We start from the raw sequence: 18,294 nt of genomic DNA on the forward strand, positions 1-18,294 counted from the left end.
TCATCCTTTCTCACCTTCTAATCCCTGGCAACCACTCTCTCCATAGTTTTGCCATTTCCAGAATGTCATGGAGTTGGAATCATACAGTATGTAGCTTTTTCAGCTTGGCTTTTTTTTTTTTTTCACTTTCTTATAAGCAGTTAAGATCCCTCTGTGTCTTTTATGGGTTGAGAATTCAGTTCTTTTTAGTGGTGAATAATATTCCAGTGTCTGGATGTACCACTGTTTATTTATTCATTCATCTACCAAGGGACATCTTGCTTGCTCCCAAGTTAGGACAATCATAAATAAAACTGTTATAAGCATCCATGTGCAGGTTTTGCTGTGGATGTAAGTTTTCAGCCCCTTTCGGTAAATACTAAGGGATATGACTGCTGGATTGCAGGGCAAAAGTATGTTTAGTTTTGTAAGAAACTGCCAAACTGTCTTCCAGAGTGACTATACTATTGTATATTCTCATTGACAATGAATAAGTGTTCCTGTTGCTTCACATTGTCTCCAGCATGTGTTGTTGTTGTCAGTGTTTTGTCTTTCACCATTCTAACAGGTGTGCGATGGTGGCTTATTGTCGTTTTAATTTGCAATTCCCTAGTGGTATATGATGTGGATCTTTTCATGTGATTATATGGCATTTGTCTGTCATCTCCAGTGAGGTGTCTGTTCAGGTCTTTGGCCCATTTTTTTTAAATCAAATTGTTTGTTTCTTTATGCTGAGTTGTAAGAGTTCATTATCCATTTTGGGTAACAGTCTTTTGTCAGATAACTCTTTTGTAAATATTTTCTCTCATTATGTGGCTTATCTTTTCATTCTCTTGGCATTGTCTTTCTCAGAGCAGAAGTTTTTAATTTTAATAAAGGCCAGCTTATCAATTATTTCTTTTGTAGATCATTGCTTAAGTGTTCTATCTAAAAAGTCACTCCCAAGCTCAAGGTCATCTAGATTTTCCCCTATGTTATTTTCCAGGAGATTAGTATTTTTGCATTTTACATTTAGGGCTGTCATTCATTTTGAATTAATTTTGTGAAGGGTGTAAGCTCTGTGTCTAGATTTTTTTTTTTTTTTTTGCATATGGATGACCAGTTGTGCCAGTACCATTTGTTGAAAAGAGTCTTTTCTTCATTGCTCCATTTTCTCCTTGCTTCTTTGTCAAAGATTAGTTGACTATATTTGTGTGAGTCTGCCTATGAGCTCTGTATAGTGATGTATCACTTAATGACTGGGATTTGTTCTGAAGAATGCATTGTCAGGTGATTTCATTATTGTACAAACATCATGAAGTATACTTACAGAAATCTAGATGATACATATTCTTATACTTTTTTTTCTTAAGGAAAACCAAATGTCCCAGCACCATTCCTCTGAATACTAATCATTTCCCCTAGTTAACCTGTAATGCCAATATCAAGTGCTGTAAGTCAGGTTTCTATATATGATTCATTGTAAACCTAGGGGACCACTGTTGTATATACAGCCTGTCATTGAACAAAATAGTGTTATATGGTACATGACTCTATACTGTTGTCTTGATACATCTATTTTTTCACCAAAATTACATTGTCTTGATTACTGTAGCTTTATAGTAAGTCTTGAGGTTAGATAGTGTTAATCCTCCAACTTCACTCTTCTTCAATATTGTGTTGGCTCTTCTGGGTCTTTTACTTCTCCATATAAAGTTTAGATTTATTGACAAAATAAATCTACAAAATATCTACAAAATAACTTTCTGGAATTATTATTAGAATTGCACAGGATCTACAGATCCTGTTAGGAAGAACTGACATCTTGGAAATATTAAGTCTTCCTATCCATGAAAATGGAATATCACTTTATTTATTTACTGTTTCTTTGATTTCTTTCATAAGAGTTTTGTAGTTTCCCTCATACAGATCTTGTACATATATTATTAGATTTTTATCTAAGTATGTTATTTTGGGGGTTGATCATGTAAATGGTATTGTGTTTTTAATTTCAGAATTCAGTTGTTCATTGCTTATATACAGAAAAGTGATTGACTTTTGTATATTAACCTTGTATCATACAACCTTGCTATTATCACTGCTCAGTTCCAGGAAGTCTAGGGTATGTTCGTGTCTGTGTGTGTATATATTCTCCTTGCTGATTCTTTCAGATTTTCTAGATACATGATGACATCATCTGTGAACAAAGATAGTTTTATTTCTTCCTTCCCAATCAGTATACCTTTAATTTCCTTTTCTTGTCTTACGGCATTAGCTTTCAGCACAGTATTTAAAAGTAGTAGTAAGAGGCATCATGCTAGCCTTGTTTCTGATCTTAACAGGAAAGCTTTCAGTTTCTCACCATTTAGTATAATATTAACTGTAGAGCTTTATAAATATTCTATAGTCAAGTTGAGGAAGTTCCCCTCTATTCTTAATTTGCTGAATTTTTAATCATTAATGGCTGTTAAAACTTGTCAAACGTTTTTCTGCATCTATCGATATGATCATGTAATTTTTCTTCTCTAGTCTTTTGATGTGGTGGATTACATTAATTGATATTTGATGAATATATTTGCATCATTCTTAATTTTTATGGCACACAGGAGAAGCCTTGGAGGACAAGGGTAGGTAAATTCTCATATGTCCTTGATATGCCTCATTGCAGAAATATCTTTTCTCATAAATTGAGAGAGAAGCTCTTTCAAGCAGAAAGAAATTATGAGAGGAGTGACTCGTAAGTATGAAGGCCATGGATAATTGATTCATCACATCATTTTTAGGTCACACACAAAAAATCAATCCAATTTAAAATTAAGAAGTTAAAAACCATTGTTTTGTATCACATAGACAAAAAACATTATCTGCTTATTAAAATTTTTACTTTCAACCAGTTGTGATAAGACAAAGCTTCCATCTTAAAAATAATACACAAGTTTCCATTAAAATGCACAATAAGCAAGATTATAATTTGTTAGAATTCAATCTTAGAGAAGAACTAAGCAAAGGGACCAGATAAAGAATAAGGAACTCTGGGGTCTAAAGCTGATAAGTTGTCTTCAAGCAAATCACTTCACTACAATGGAATCCATATTTTTATCTAGAAGTCATTGTGAGATAAATAAATAAACAAAACGTTAACTAGCTAAATTTTTTAAAATCTTATCAAAAAATTTATTTTAAAATAATATATTATGATAAAATAATGGTGGATCCCTAAAACATGCCTTTTATTTATTATCAGAATATTTGTGATGTAATCCTTCACATTAATGGGCTAACTAGCAAAGATTGCATGAGTTTATATATATATATATATATACATAAAAACAAATTTTTTATTAAGTTCAATACCAATACATAATTTAAAATAAACTTTTTCAGAAAACTAAGAATAGAAAAAGACATTCTTAATTTGATAGAGGCTAAATATAAAAAACCTACCATAGAAAAGGAGGCATCCAACACTTGCCTCTTCCAGAAAGAAAAACCAAAATTATGAACAATCACTGCTAGAATAGAACTTGTAAGAGAGAACACTGAAATTAAGCAGAGAAATCCAAAACCCGAACAGACTAATAACAAGTAATGAGATAGATGCAGTAATAAAGAGTCTTCCAGCACAGAAAAGCCCACGACCTGATAGCTTCGCTACTGAATTTTACCAAACATTTAAAGAAGAACTAATGTACCCCATAAATATACACATCTTCTATGTACCCATAAAATTTTTTTAAGTGCTTGGGGACAATCTTTAAAGGAAAGGAAAGAGATATGAGAATAACTGCAATGTATGATCTTTAATTGGATAGTGGGTTTAACAAAAACAATATTAAGGACACTATTTTTATTATTTTGTTATTGTTCTTATTGTTATAAGAAACGTGAATATGAAATGCATGTAACAACATAACCCCAATGTCAAATTTCCTGAGTGTGATAAATATATTATGTTTAAAAAAAACCATAGTGTTAATGTCAAAAATATTCAAGGAATTCTTGCAAATGTACTTTAAAACCTCGTAAGCTAAGTTGAAAAAATGGGTAAAGGAAACAAATAAGCAATTCACAGACAATGAAACCTAAAACACCACCAAGCATATAAGATGCCTAAAATACAAGTAATAAAAAATCTCAGACTAACATTAAACTATAACACTTTATACACTTTATACCCATTATGTTGGCAAAAATTAGGAAGAGAGTAATGCTACATTTGGCATGAATATGGGAAAAAGGTAATGCACCTGCAGTTAGAAGTATAGACTTGCAGTCATTCCAGAAAGCACTTTGAAGTATTTAATGAAATCAAACATTAGTAAATCCTAGAAACCCCCTCTTTAATATGTATCCCAGAAACAACTGTTCATAGATCTATAAGGATGCATAGCTAACAATGTTCATCGGGGCATTATGTATGGAAGTGGGGAGTTTATGACAATCTAGGTATGCATCTATGAATGGATGGGTAGGCAGAAAACGGGGAGTGTGTTCAGTGTTTTACTAAGCAGCTGTCAGAAGCAACACAGGATACAAACACACAAAACATAATGTTGATGGGAAAAGAACTACAAATAATGAGATATAAAGTACCTGTACTTATGCAAATTAAAAACACATGTAAGCATAAAATAATGACATAATTTTTTCAAAGAATCATACATCTTTAAAGACATAGAGTGAGTACCCAATCATGGGAAAGGGAGAATGGAGAGAGATGGGTGATAAAGGGGAAAATACTCAAGAGGACATCAAGACGAAGTATCATTGAACCACTAGGAAATATAATTAACAGGACACTCGATATTTGAAGTCTAAAAGAAAGAAAAAAAATAAAATAAAAAATAAAATCGGGGTAAGACTAGATCATCTTTAAAGTTACTTCTCACTCTAATATTCTGGTTTTCTATGATACATGAGATCTTTCTGCACTGAGTAAGCCTTAGAGACCATTTGTATCATTATACATTAGTGGGATGAAGCCAAACACCTGCAAATCCAGTAAATTCAGACAAACTACACTCAGGGGAGCTAGTTTCACATCATCTGTCAACAAGGGCATCAAAGAGAGGTGGGAAATCAAAATCATCTGTCTCTGGGCTACAAGCCCTGGCTATGACTCCCCACACACCAATCATAGCAATTCTCAGTGTTCCTATAACCCTCCACATCTGTTAATTGCTTAGGGCTTCATATTCTACCCTGGAGGCCTATTGGTGTTTCCAGTTTAGTTAAGGAGAGAACTAAAAGGATAGACAGGTAAGTTAAAAGCATGCAGACCCTGAACAAATGTTTTGTCACCAGAATCCACAATGCAGTGTGGAGATAACTACAAAAACTGAGATTGTTATAGCTGATTTTAATCCAAGAAGGTTTAATTAGGACCCCAGAGAGGTGTCTGTGGGGAGATGAAATCCTGCTCCATACGATGAAAACAGAAAGTTCTTAACAATTGGGATAAGCATAAATGAAATTGGCAACCACAAGATATAGTTAGATTTTTCTTCCTGTGTATTTTTCTAGTAGAATCCAATATTATGAAGAGTTAGAGATGATGTGAAGAATACTTATTACTGGGCAAGTCTTCCTGAACTACAAGTCTCTTTAGAGTCCCTTGCAACATGGAGATTATATGGTTCCATCATGTGTGTTATGTATTTGTGCATGTGCTCATGCACTTGGAGACAACACACTATTGGAAATGAGGTTATTAAGCAGTAGGATGCTGCTTCTGGGGATGCTGAATGTCGTTACACAGTTAATCTTTATGGAGCTCCTTCCAATCCCTAGAGAAACCTCGATGTGAAAGTCTAAGAATGCAGAACATATTCACTTGGTAGAATTATAAACATCAAAACTAGACATCAATGTACAGTCATTGATAACCTCAGGAGGTGATCATCTACTTGCCTCTGTTTTTTTTTTCTTAAGAATTGCTTTTTTTTCCTCGACCTATCAGAAATACATTTTTCCAGCTTTAATGAGATATAATTGACAAAAAATGTGTATGTTCGAGGTATAAAACATGATGATTTGATATAAGTATACATTGTATAGTGATGACCACAATCCAATTAGTTAACACATTCAGCATCACTCACAGTTATTTGTGTGTGTGCATGCATGTGGGCATGTGTGTGTGGTGAGAACAATTAAAATCTGCTCTCATCAAATTTCAAGGTAAAAAAACAGTTATTAATTATAGTCATCAGCAGGCTGTGAGAGGAATGTGACACTGAGTTTATTACTTACTATGTGTCCTTTATAGTTTGTTATGCACGTGCGTGTAAACAGCATAGCACTATCTTTATTGAGTATTGAGTCAGGAATACTCAAAAAATAATTAAGTCATCTCTTCATAAAATCCCTACCCAGAAACCTTGTGAAGTATTGCATGTATATGATCTTAAACTTTACTGATATTTAGAATCATATTCTGGTATTGAATTCAAGCAGTGCCCATTAGGTCCAGGATCCTATTTTGAAAAGACAAATACCTCTCTCTAAATGCATTACGCACTCTGCTAGGAACTCCAAATTACATAGACCCAGAGAGCAGATACCAAGTAGCACCTTGTTCTTAGATTCTTGCTTTTCTTCTCTGGCTTATCATAGAGCTTCTCCTCTTAATCAGAAAACCTGCAGAACCGTGAGTATGAAAATAGTCAACCTGCAGACCCATGAGTATGAAAATAATTGATTAATTGTTATGCAGCAAAAATCAATTCATACATCAAGTAGTTTGTAACCTCTGCATATACAAACATCCCAAAATGCAACATCTCTTTGAGAGCTGGGTGCTAATGGTTTGGTTCTGCATAGTTGCTGCGGCTAAGCCACAATACCAGAGTAGCTATCTTTGATGACAGAGAAATCCTTCTCTTACCCTCAAAACCTCCTTCTAAAGTCACACAAGGGGCCCTCTGCCCATATCCCTGTAAGGGTGAGGAGAAAAAGAGAAAGGAATCCAGCTGTTTAAGAGTTAAATGAGCATGACAGTCCCTAAGAATGTGTCCTACTCTACAATACTCATTTCTTGATATTAGTCATAGGAATTAGAACTCTGTAGGAATTAATTTTCTACACATCTTCACTAGTGGAAAGAAAGCATCATCTCCCTTTCATAAGTAAAGCCTCTTGCAAAAATCTTGTCTGAACAAGATGAAATAAAATTCCCCATGATTTCATCATCAACCTTCAATACGAAAATATGAAGGCCCTAAAGGCTAATGTAAGAAGGAAGTCAAAATGGTGCCCCCTAGTGTTATGATCGCCAACAGCCTGGAGACCATAGTAATGCATGGTGTCTCTGGAACAGAATGTGGATCACCATAGATTAAAATCTGCAGTACCAAAACCACATATGTTATTTACTACCACCTACACCAAGCCAGCCAGGAAATAAGATCTAGAAAACCCTGAAATCAGCTATGTTGCTTTCAAATATATGCATTGGATGAGTCTCTTCACTTTTCTGAATTACAATGTTTTCAACTATAGTTTAGGGATACTACTTTATCAGTACTGGATTGATAACAGGAAGAAATGAGATTGTAGAGAGTTATTTAAAAACTGCAAGGGATTCTACAAATTAAATGAAACAGGTTGGTAATAATTAGGAAATCATATTGTGTCTAGCCCAACACAGTTCTATATTTAAACTTACAGTTCTATATTTAAATGTTAATTGACATTAGTATTTTGGGGGAGAAATCTTATTGGAAAAGTTAATAAAAATAAAGAAATAAACATGAAAATACATATATTAAATACATAGGAACCAACAGATGTTATCAGGTGAAAGGTATATGCCAGGATGGGTCCTGATTCTGGTCTTCTTCACTTTATTTGGGTCAATCTGTAAACAGTGCAAGACAGAGCCTGTAAGCCAGTGCCATAAAATTCAACTTTGTTTCACTTCCATTTCAAATGTAATTCCAGTGCCTTTCAACAAGGATTTATTTTGAAGCCAACTCTTTCACATCCCATTAAGTTGGTGTGTTTTATTTGCATGAAATTCCAAATTGATCTGATGCTGATGTCCAGGCACTCTATAAGGAGGAGACAGAAAAGATCCATTAAAAATAAAAATTGCCAAAGGGGAGACACACATAATTTTTTAGCTTAAGCTGTAAACAGCACTCTTTTTCCATTATCAGATTGTCATTATAATTTCCAAAAGCTGCAGAAGATGAGGCCTGAGTCCTGCTTAGTTTCCAACCTTTCACCCTGCTTGGCATCATTCTCTGAGCATATGCTCTGCTCAAAAGAAATGAAAAAAACAAACAAACAAAAATACCACTGCATCAGTTGCCACAAATGAGGAAAACATACCAATAACAGTGTATGAAATATTTCCACACAGTCCCAGCATTTAAGAGCTTCCAGGGTCCTCCCAAGTCCATTTTCTGCCCATGATTATTCTGCTTTCAGTACGTTTAGAAGCTAATTTCTCAATTCCATTGTGTGGGTGCATAGTAATGCAGGAGTTTGGTTATGAAATATATAAAGAAAGGGCTAAAATTTGACTGTAAAAATATTTTTTATCCATATCTACCTGTTTGATAGCATTTCCCATTATTCCAAGCTATAAATCAGAATATGGTTACAAGATATTGGCAGGGGTGGGGGAAGCTAGGAAGAAGAGGAATGAATTCCAAGATAACAAAACTGAACATTTATTGAGGGTTAGTACATGCCAGCTACTTAGTTGAGCGATTTGTCTACACATTCTCAGATAATCCTATAATTATTTTCTAAAGTGGAAGTCATCCCAAATTTATGATGGCAAAAAGAGGCTCAGAGGGTCTGTGTCAGTTCTCCAAAGCCATATAGCATTTAAATGGAAAAGCAGGTATATAAAACCTAAACCTTTCACTCCAAATCTCACATTTCTTCCACCTAACTCTGCTATCCTCAATAATCAATAGTCCAGATTCAATGATATAGCTATTAGAGGGTCCCCATTCAGACAATCAAAAATAAGAATTTGTAGAAAAATATATTTTAGTAGTTGGCACCTTAATTTCACGTAGGTTAAGAACTTTATTTAGAAAGATCCTTTGGTTACTTTAGCTAGGAAATGTGAAAACATAGTGGTTTGAGTGAGAGGAGATACTTAACTGCTTTGCTTAAGAAGAACAACAGATATTTGGATTTGGAATAAAGAGAATAGGAGGACAAAAACAAAAAAAAAGAAAAAGGAGGAAGCTGGAAAACATTGTAGTGGTCTGCAACCTGTAAAGAAATGCTGTCTAGGAGAAATCTCTGTGGCAAATTGGCGAGAAGAATTATCATAACAAGAAATTGCTTATTTTAATATTTAAGTTTATTGCTATATATCTCTATGAAAGCATCCTTTATCTCCCAAACTTTCAGTACAACCTACTTCATCCCAAATTCTTGTATGAGAGACATCTAAAAAAAGGAAGTTTATTGTGTATCTGCATCAGTAAAGGGTGGTGAAAGGAGACTTAGGGCTCAGAAGGCACAGGAAATTAGAAGCAGAGATGCCCATGTGACTGTGGGTGGAGGGGGGCAGTGTGCACTCCATAGATATGGAAGAGGGAATGCATTAATTCATGTAAATGTCAAGGAAATCATACACTTGACTTATACTTGATCAACAAGATCCTATTGTCTTGGTAACATCCTTCTGTTCCCACCAGATACGGGTTAGTATACAAAATGTCTAAAAAAAATTGACATTATTCCCTTTCAATAATATCTCACCATGGTTATAATTGAAAAATAGTAGCAAAATTGCTTTCCCACATACCCACTATTCTTGTTGATGTCACCATCTGCTTGTATACTTTCACTCCCAAAAATCTGTAAGAAAATTAAGATGATTTCTTCAGGTAAAAACCTGCAGATCAACAGTCTGGGAAATTTGGCATTCAGTCAAATGCTGTGATCTCTACCAACAATGGTACTGCCATTGTGTAAGTTATAGCCCCTTTGCAAAGGGTTATCTATATCATGTCCTGCTCCTCCGAATAGACACAGACCTTTAAACGCTTAGGATTTCTGGCCGCAAAGCTCACATACGGAACTCTTATTATAGCAACAATAATAGCATTGAAGGAAACTCAGAAATCATCTAGTTTGATCTTCCAAAGATTGCAATAATCCTTTCTACAATAGACCCAGTGAGATTGTAATTTGCCTTCTTGAACGCATCCAATGACAAAGTCATCTCAAAAGGAAATTCTATCTTTGGATAATATGAAACTTTACATAAAAAGCTTCCTTATATTGAGCCTAAATTATATTACTGGTCCTACCTAAATTCAGGCATTTGGAACAGCATACGTATTATCCTTCTTCCATCTGTCTTTTCTTCAATTATTTGATGACAACTCCAACGTCACTACTTAATTCATGCTAAATGTACTCAGTTCTTTCAGTCATTTCCAGATGCTTTACCATACCAGGAAACACCTGGGTACATTCCATTTGTCAATATCTTATAAATGTGTGGTGTGCCGAAGGAAATCCTGTGATCCAGATGTGATCTTAACTCTGCAAATTTCAATTGTATTTTTGTATCCCTCTTCTGCAAATGGGTCCTTCAATAAAGCAAACCAAGATGGTTTTAGCTTTTTATGACATTGTATTACACTTAAATAATACTGAGGTTGCCATTGCCTGTTACTTAAACTTTTGAGAAATTCTGTCACTTAGTTTTTAAATTCTTGTTTGATCTTTTAAAACCAAAGTTTAGTACACCACATTTATCCTCTTTTAATTTAGATTTTCTAGTCTATTGTTTTGGATCCTTGACTGTGATAACTAATGTATTCACATCTACCCCTTGCCACATTGGAATGGCAGAACATTTGATAATCATACATTCTGTGCTTTTTATTAATATGTTTTCATAATTGATGTAATGACAAGAGCATAGACTCTAAAGTGATCACGATTAAGATTTTCCTTTCTCTTCTGCTAGCTATACATACCACGCAGCTAATAATCCTGCTTTCATTGAGCACTTACTATGTTCTAGCCACTCTGCTAGTGACTTTCCAGATATACTGTATTTTAATTCTTTCAATTTATCAATGAGTAGGGAAATATATTTTTCCATTTTTATTATAGGAATATAAAGCAGAAGTTTTTTATTTCTGTTTAAGCATACACAGTTAAGTGACTTGCACATAATTCACTGTCCTAGTTTTCAGTTCCGCAAACATTTACTCTTTTAACATTCCATCTTTGATTTCAAGGTTTGTGAAATTTATATTTTTATTAACTTGCCACAGAGAATTTTCTTCCTTTCATTTATTTATGCTTTCTTCCAAACTGTTTTCTTTGTCTACCTTTTGTATCCTTCCTGCCTGCATTCTCTTTTCTCTTCTTTTTTTTCTTTTTATTCTTTTCTTCTTTCTCACTTTTTTCCTCTCTCCCTCTTTTCCTTTCTCCAGCCTCCATTATCTTCCTTCCTTCCTTCCTTTTTTCCTTCCTTCCTTCCTTCCCTCCTTCCTTCCTTCTGTCCTCTATTTCTTTCTGGTAGTATATTTGCATTATTGCCAAGTATTTCTTTAAAAATATTTCTCCTTTTTAATATGTGCAGATGGCACTCTGTCCAGAACTTCTATTGAATGTAAATGATTTTTAAGTCAGCTCTCTTTTCTTACTTAAGACCTGTTTGTTTTCATTTCTTAGCTGCACCCAAGGAGTAGGATGCCTACCCTTCTGTCTAGTTTTCTGTAGCTTCAGGGTCTGGATAGAGGTGGATTTCGTCTGCTGGGCCCATGTTCAGCCTTTGTGGAAGAGCCCAAGTGCTTCTTTTTCTTCATAGATTTCTGCCAAACGTCCAGGAACCCAAGATCACCTAATCTGTGCACTCCTTCTGGGTTCACTTCCTTTCTTGAGCCTAGGGTTTTAGAATACAGTGAGCCAAGGCTGGTTTTTCGGCCTCTTCTAAGATTCCAAGTTCATGTGATAGTTCATATAAAATTCTCTTCTTATTTTTTTTCTCTGTTTACTTTCCTCCTTAGTTTATTTCTTTCCAAATTACTGTGAGTATGTGGAAGGAGAAGGGGAGGGGCAGTTGTTAATACAAAATCTCAAGATGTTGTCCACTAATCTTTCACCATACTGTTTCTGGCAATTGGACATTGCCAGAAGTTAATAATTGAGCCTCATTAAAATCTTCTATTTCTTTCTTTACCACTACATTTGGCAAATTAGAGCATGTGTGTATCTAAATGAATACTTCCTGTTGTTTTTTAAATTTTTTTAAATGTAGGGAGAAAAAAGTCCTGTGATTCTGGTTTCTTTCCAATATTTTAACACTATTATTTTCTTATATGCTTTTTTTATACATTGGAAAAGTTAAACATAATTTATTTGATAATATGTCTCATATGATAATATCATTGATACCAGAATCTGTGTTGTAATACTTCATAATCCTGGGATAATTTAGAAGAGAGTCAAATATTACATAGCTAGTATAATTTTACTGTCATACAGGTCACAGGCCTCAAGCTCGACTCAGAGGAATTTCTACAAAGATTCCATGTATCTTACTGATACACTATATATCACTGACTCTGTTCTCCATTTTCCCTCTTCTTTTCCATGATTCTTAACAATAGGGCAGAGGAATAGAACATAACACCATCTTATCTAGGAACATTGTCTCTTCCTTGGAGATGCTTATCCTAACACCATAAAGATGATAGTATATTTGGGACATCCATAGTGCACTGAATTTTCTACATGAGAAGGGTTCTTCCTTATCATAGAGTTGTTAGGGGAAAAAAAGCCATAATATTGTTAAGAAGATAACTAGAAAAAAAGAGAACAATTATTCAAAAATCATTGAAACACGAACTAGGAGAAAGTATTAGACAGTTGTAGAAGAGAGGAATATGAGCTTCAAATACTGCTTCAATATTAAACCCCTTTATATACACTAACACCAGACCTCTGAGTCACTAGGCCTCTTTTCACATTATCCTTCTTTTAGTGTCTTCTCAAAACAATCCCTACAGCCTTGCTATAAATATTTGAATAACTTCCAAGTAATCACCTGGATTCTTCTTAAAAGACCCCAGGATAGAAAACTCACTGGTTTGTAGGTCAGCCCAGTGCATCACCAAAAAGTTCATACCTCATACTCATAGGAAGCGATTGGCCTATTTTTAAATTTTAAAAGTAGAATAAAATTATATCTGATCCTTATAACTATGATAGAGATTTTCTGCTATATAAGCAAAGGCTAAGAGGAAACACTGGCCAATGAAAGGAGCAGTAGAACCATATGTGAAATGATGTTTTTTAGAATACTACCTAGAATCAATAATGTTGATTAAGAAAAGGGAAGAATAGGCTGCGCACAGTGGCTCACGCCTGTAATCCCAGCACTTTGGGAGGCCAAGGCAGGCGGATCACTTGAGGTCAGAAGTTCGAGCCCAGCATGGCTAATAAGGTGAAACCCATTCTCTACCAAAAAATACAAAAATTTGTCTGGTGTAGTGGCATGCATCTGTAGTCCCAGCTACTGGGGAGGCTGAAGTGGGAGAACGGCTGGAATCTGGGAGGCAGAGGTTGCAGTGAGCCGAGATTATACCACTGCACTCCAGCCTGGGTGATAGAGTGAGGCCCTGTCTCAAATTTAAAAATAAAAAAAGAAACGGGAAGAATGCTGTGCTTTATATTAAATCAAAACCCTCTCTCTCTCTCTCTCTCTCTCTCTGTATTTTCAGTGCCTAAAACTCTGCCTGGCATATAACGCTTAATACACATTTTGTGGAATATATGAATGTGAGATCTTTCTATTAATACTACATCAAACCATTGAGACCTCACACAACAGGTATATTTCCTTTTCTACACAACAGGTACCATGGTCTCTAGGGACTTCCCTTGTCTAGGATGAACATTTCTGATTCCTTCAACAGTTCCTAAAAGTTCTTATATTGACTGCCCTTCACTTCACGCCAGCAGTAGGACTTCGAAGTTGCCCAGCATAGAGCCTAATATTGCCTCTCAACAATATTTTGGGTGAGATATGTCAAGGTAAGTGCTGGAGTGAGAGGAGTAAGGGGAGTGAGCTCACTTGCCTGAAAAAAAGAAAAGCCAAGTTTTTTTTTATTTACCTGATTTGCTTTCTGAGCACCTCCTTATAGCCTTTTAGAGATCATTCTTCCCAATGCATCTCAACATTCTTTTTCCACCCCTGAGGCAGTCACGTAAGGATCTTTTACCTCCTCTCCTTCGCTGCCACAGAACTGGATGTTCTTTCCAGATTCTCACATGATCGTGGATTCTCTCAATCCTCACTTCTTTTTATTTTTATTTATTTATTTATTTATTTATTTATTTATTTATTTATTTATTTATTTTTGAGACGGCGTCTCACTCTGTCTCCCGGGCTGGAGTGCAGTGGCACGATCTCCACTCACCGCAACTTCTGCCTCCCGGGTTCAAGTGATTCTCCTGACTCAGACTCCCAAGTAGTTGGGATCACAGGCACCCGCCACCATGCCTGTCTAATTTTTGTATTTTTAGTAGAGATGGGGCTTTGCCATGTTGGCCTGGCTGGTATTGAACTCCTGACCTCAGGTGATCCACCCGCCTCAGCCTCCCAAAGTGCCGGGATTACAGAAGTGAGCTACTGCACCTGGCCCTCACTTCTTTATGCTGATCTCTACCTTGAGTATTCTGTGATGCAAAAATACATGAGAAAATGGGGCCATCACTTCAAATGCAGTTTTTGTTCGATCATCATTTTTCACATCTTGTTGACATTTGGAGAAGAGTACAATATGAAGCTTCTTTTGTATTTCCACCATGAAATTTAGCAAGTTTGAATCAATCCTTTGTGAGGCCCATCCTTTTCCTCCCCCATTAGAATGAAATATAGCTTTAAGCTTGAGTTATGTATCTTAGAATATGGTTTAACAAAAGCTAAAACCTAAAAAAAAAAAAGGGCATGGCATCCTTGGTATTTGTGGGTGAACTCTGTGGTGACTGCTTTAATTAATTTATGTAATTGGAATTTCACCAAGACATAAATTTACTCATATCTATTTTTAAAGACAGGAATATTGATCTTGGACCAGCAATAAATTCCTGTAATATTTGTCCTCAGTAAAAAGCCAAGACAATTCTAGGCCATTTCTTTTTGTCTTGAAAACGTTATGCCAAAATCATCATTTTGTTGGCTGCATACATCCTGATTTATATTCGATGAGAGTTATAAAAGGCTTTTATAGTGGAGATGGCCGAGTGACATTTTCCTATAAATCACGATCATTTTTACTGCTACAAAGTTCTAGGACTGAACTTCAAATACAACCGTGCTGTAAACTCTGTGGATGGAACCACATACTTGCTGAATGAGAAACATGTTTCCCTTTCACCATGAGTGACTGCATATTCCAGTCAGTCTCTGGCAGATGAGAGCATCACTAAAACCCAGGGAACCATGCTCAGCTTTGATGAAGCAGCTTGTGAAACGCAGGTCACCCAGAACACCTTTGAATACAGCTATGCTTTCAGCCTCATGAATAATTCAGGTCCATATAGATACTATATGTTGAGCTGAAATAACCTAGCCATTAAAGGTAACAAGAATGAGGGGAAGCTAATTTTGGCAAACATCAGTATTGTGCATCAGAAATATAACACTATAGATCAGAATCCTATTTCATTCAATATGAATCCTTATGAGAATGTCTTCTGATCACAGGGGTGTCATCTTTGCACATAACTCTCCTCATCCTCAAGTGACCATACCTGTTAGATTCAAAGGTAACTTGCTTTTGTAAGAAAGTAGCGTAGAGCAAAGATGAGGGTACCAGGGATTAGAAGCTCTGAATTTTCTTTCAACCCATCTTAGTGAAAAAAAACAACAACCTGGATTTAGAAGGCAGAAGAATGGCTTATGTGATTTTAGAAAAGGGATATTAAACCTCTTCATCCCTAGGTTATTTATCCATAGTCACAGATGTTCTATTAATAATATAGGTGAAAGAAATGTCACCGTATCCCCTACTCCCACTAAAGTAAATTAAACCTGGTTTAAGTATCCACTTACTAAGAGAAGCAAAAGCTTTAGGGCCAATTCTGGATGTTTTCTACCCTACTCTTTGTGGGTAACAGAACCCAGACTTACATAGTCAAGGAAGACTGTGACAGTGGCATCTCATCTTCAATAACAAAGTGGTAGACATTGTGATTGTTTGTTTCCTAAGACTGTTATCCACTCAAATATGCACAGCTTTTTCTAGCAGCCTCATGTTCTTCATGTCACCTTCAGATATAGAGATCTTTACCTAGGCTCCCAAAGGAGGAGCTTGGTGCCAAGTCTCTCCTGGTACCAGCGTAAGTCCCCTACACCAAAGAGCTTTCTACCTTCATAGTTTTATTATGAGCAGGAATTATCCAATTCATTACACTTTGTTCACATTTGCAGTCTGGTAAAATTATCTATCTGGTTTAGACTGGGCTCTGTTTCAATCCACTGAAACCACAGCCTGCCTCCTCATTTTGTCTCTGACAATGGAGCCTCATCATACCGAGAGCCTTGTACATGCACAAGCCTAGGCTTGCATGCATGAGTGTACACACACACACACACACACACATGCATGCACACACACAGAGTTCACTGACCCTTGGAGATAAGGAGAATTCAGACCTGCTGGATTTTCTTGGAAGAAGTGGGGATAGTGGAGATGTTTTCATTCTATGTCCTGGTGAGTCCACAGCAAGAGTGGGGGTTGTGAGGAGCAATTACAACACCTCATTTATTACATGAAATACAAAAAAAAAAAAAAAAAAACTCATCTACTTTCTTGGTATTACCAAGTAAACACTCATTGATTCTAAAGCTAGACTTCCAGTTTGTTTCTCTCTCCTGAGCTCCAAATCTGTTTAGTCAACCCTCCAAGTCCCTCTTGGCAACATGTTAAAAAACAAATTCACCGGCCAGTCGTGGTGACTCACACCTGTAATCCCAGCACTTTGGGAGGCCAAGGCAGGCAGATCACGAGGTCAAGAGATCGAGACCATCCTAGCCAACATGGTGAAACCCTGTCTCTACTAAAAAAATACAAAAATTAGCCAGGCGTGGTGGCACGTGCCTGTAGTCCCAGCTACTCAGGAGGCTGAGGCCAGAGAATCGCTTGAACCCAGGAGGTGGAGCTTGCAGTGAGCTGAGATTGCGTCACTGCACTCCAGCCTGGTGACAGAGTGAGACTCTGCCTCAAAAATAAATTAATTAAAATTTAAAAAATAAAAATAAAAACCAAACTCATCATTGCCATTCCACTCACCTACCTACCATTTCTCCTATAGTATGTATATCTGTAAATGACATCACCATCATCCAGCCGGAAGCATAGGTCTTATCCTTGAGTCCTCCCCCTTTCCCCTTTCTCAGTCACATATAACCAACCACTTAAAGTTCTATTGATTTTCCAAACTTAAAATCACTAAAATCTGTTCACTCATCTTCTACCATTCTGGGTCAGTCCCCATCATTTTTATCCTGGGTTGCTACTATAGCTTCTTAATTGCTCTTCCTACTCCCAATTTTGTTCTGGGCTTGCTCACAGCCAAAACACGTTACAGCCAGAGTGTTCTCTGTAAAATGCATGTCATTGCCATGTGCTAATAGTAATCTCTCAATAATGCTTTTTGTCTGATTTTAATACATCTCCCCTACTTTCTATTGGTTACCTTTTTCCTGCCATGTCCTTTTCCATTGTATTCTTTAGAATAAACTAAGATGCTGCAGCAAATATCAAATATACCAAAATAGAATCATGGTTCAGTACAGTAGAAGCTTTTCCCCGACAGTCCTGAGCAGGTATCAGTTCTCTGGAGATGCTGCTCCTCCAAGCTGTTATTCAGGGACTCCAGATGCTTCCATCCTGTTGTTCTACTATCCTCTAAGGTCTATCTGCACCTGTATGCAGCCAGATCCAGGAGAAAGGGCATGGTGAAAGGCATTGGGGAATCAATGCACCAGGCCTGGAAATGGCACCTATCACTTCCATTCCTACTACACACCACCATACCCAAGAAGAAGGGGGCATGAATTTTGTGACTGACCAATACATATGTTGTTGAAGTGAACAGAAAGATAAAAGGGCATAATCATCACTCCTTCAGTTTGTTAGGAAAGGTTTCCTAGGAGTGGTAGATTCAGGTGTCTGAGTGGCAGAAGAGTGTTAGTATAATTAAGAATATGAGCTTTTGAGACAGACAGACTTAGGTTTAAATCTTGCTTCTAGTGCTTACTAGTTGGCTCAGTTAGGTAATTTATTTCAAATCATCCAAGTAGTGATTTGAAATAAATCATACCAAAAA

The 18,294-nt window shown here is 36.2% G+C and overlaps 1 long non-coding RNA gene across 2 annotated transcripts in view; it reads right to left on the minus strand.

Moving 5' to 3' along the window:
* Positions 1 to 2,821: 2,821 nt before the first annotated feature.
* Positions 2,822 to 18,294, minus strand: part of LOC124902009 (uncharacterized) — a 66,420-nt gene continuing 50,947 nt past the window's right edge. The window contains exons 1-2 of one of the 2 annotated variants that reach the window (XR_007061076.1): positions 9,737 to 10,227; positions 2,822 to 8,009 (exon numbers count right to left, since the gene is read on the minus strand). This is a non-coding gene — a long non-coding RNA (uncharacterized LOC124902009). Of the gene's footprint in view, positions 8,010 to 9,736; positions 10,228 to 18,294 lie in introns of those variants that run through there. The other variant, XR_007061077.1, reaches the window with a different exon arrangement.

Source organism: Homo sapiens, chromosome 8, assembly GCF_000001405.40.
Source record: "Homo sapiens chromosome 8, GRCh38.p14 Primary Assembly".
Taxonomy (NCBI): domain Eukaryota; kingdom Metazoa; phylum Chordata; class Mammalia; order Primates; family Hominidae; genus Homo; species Homo sapiens.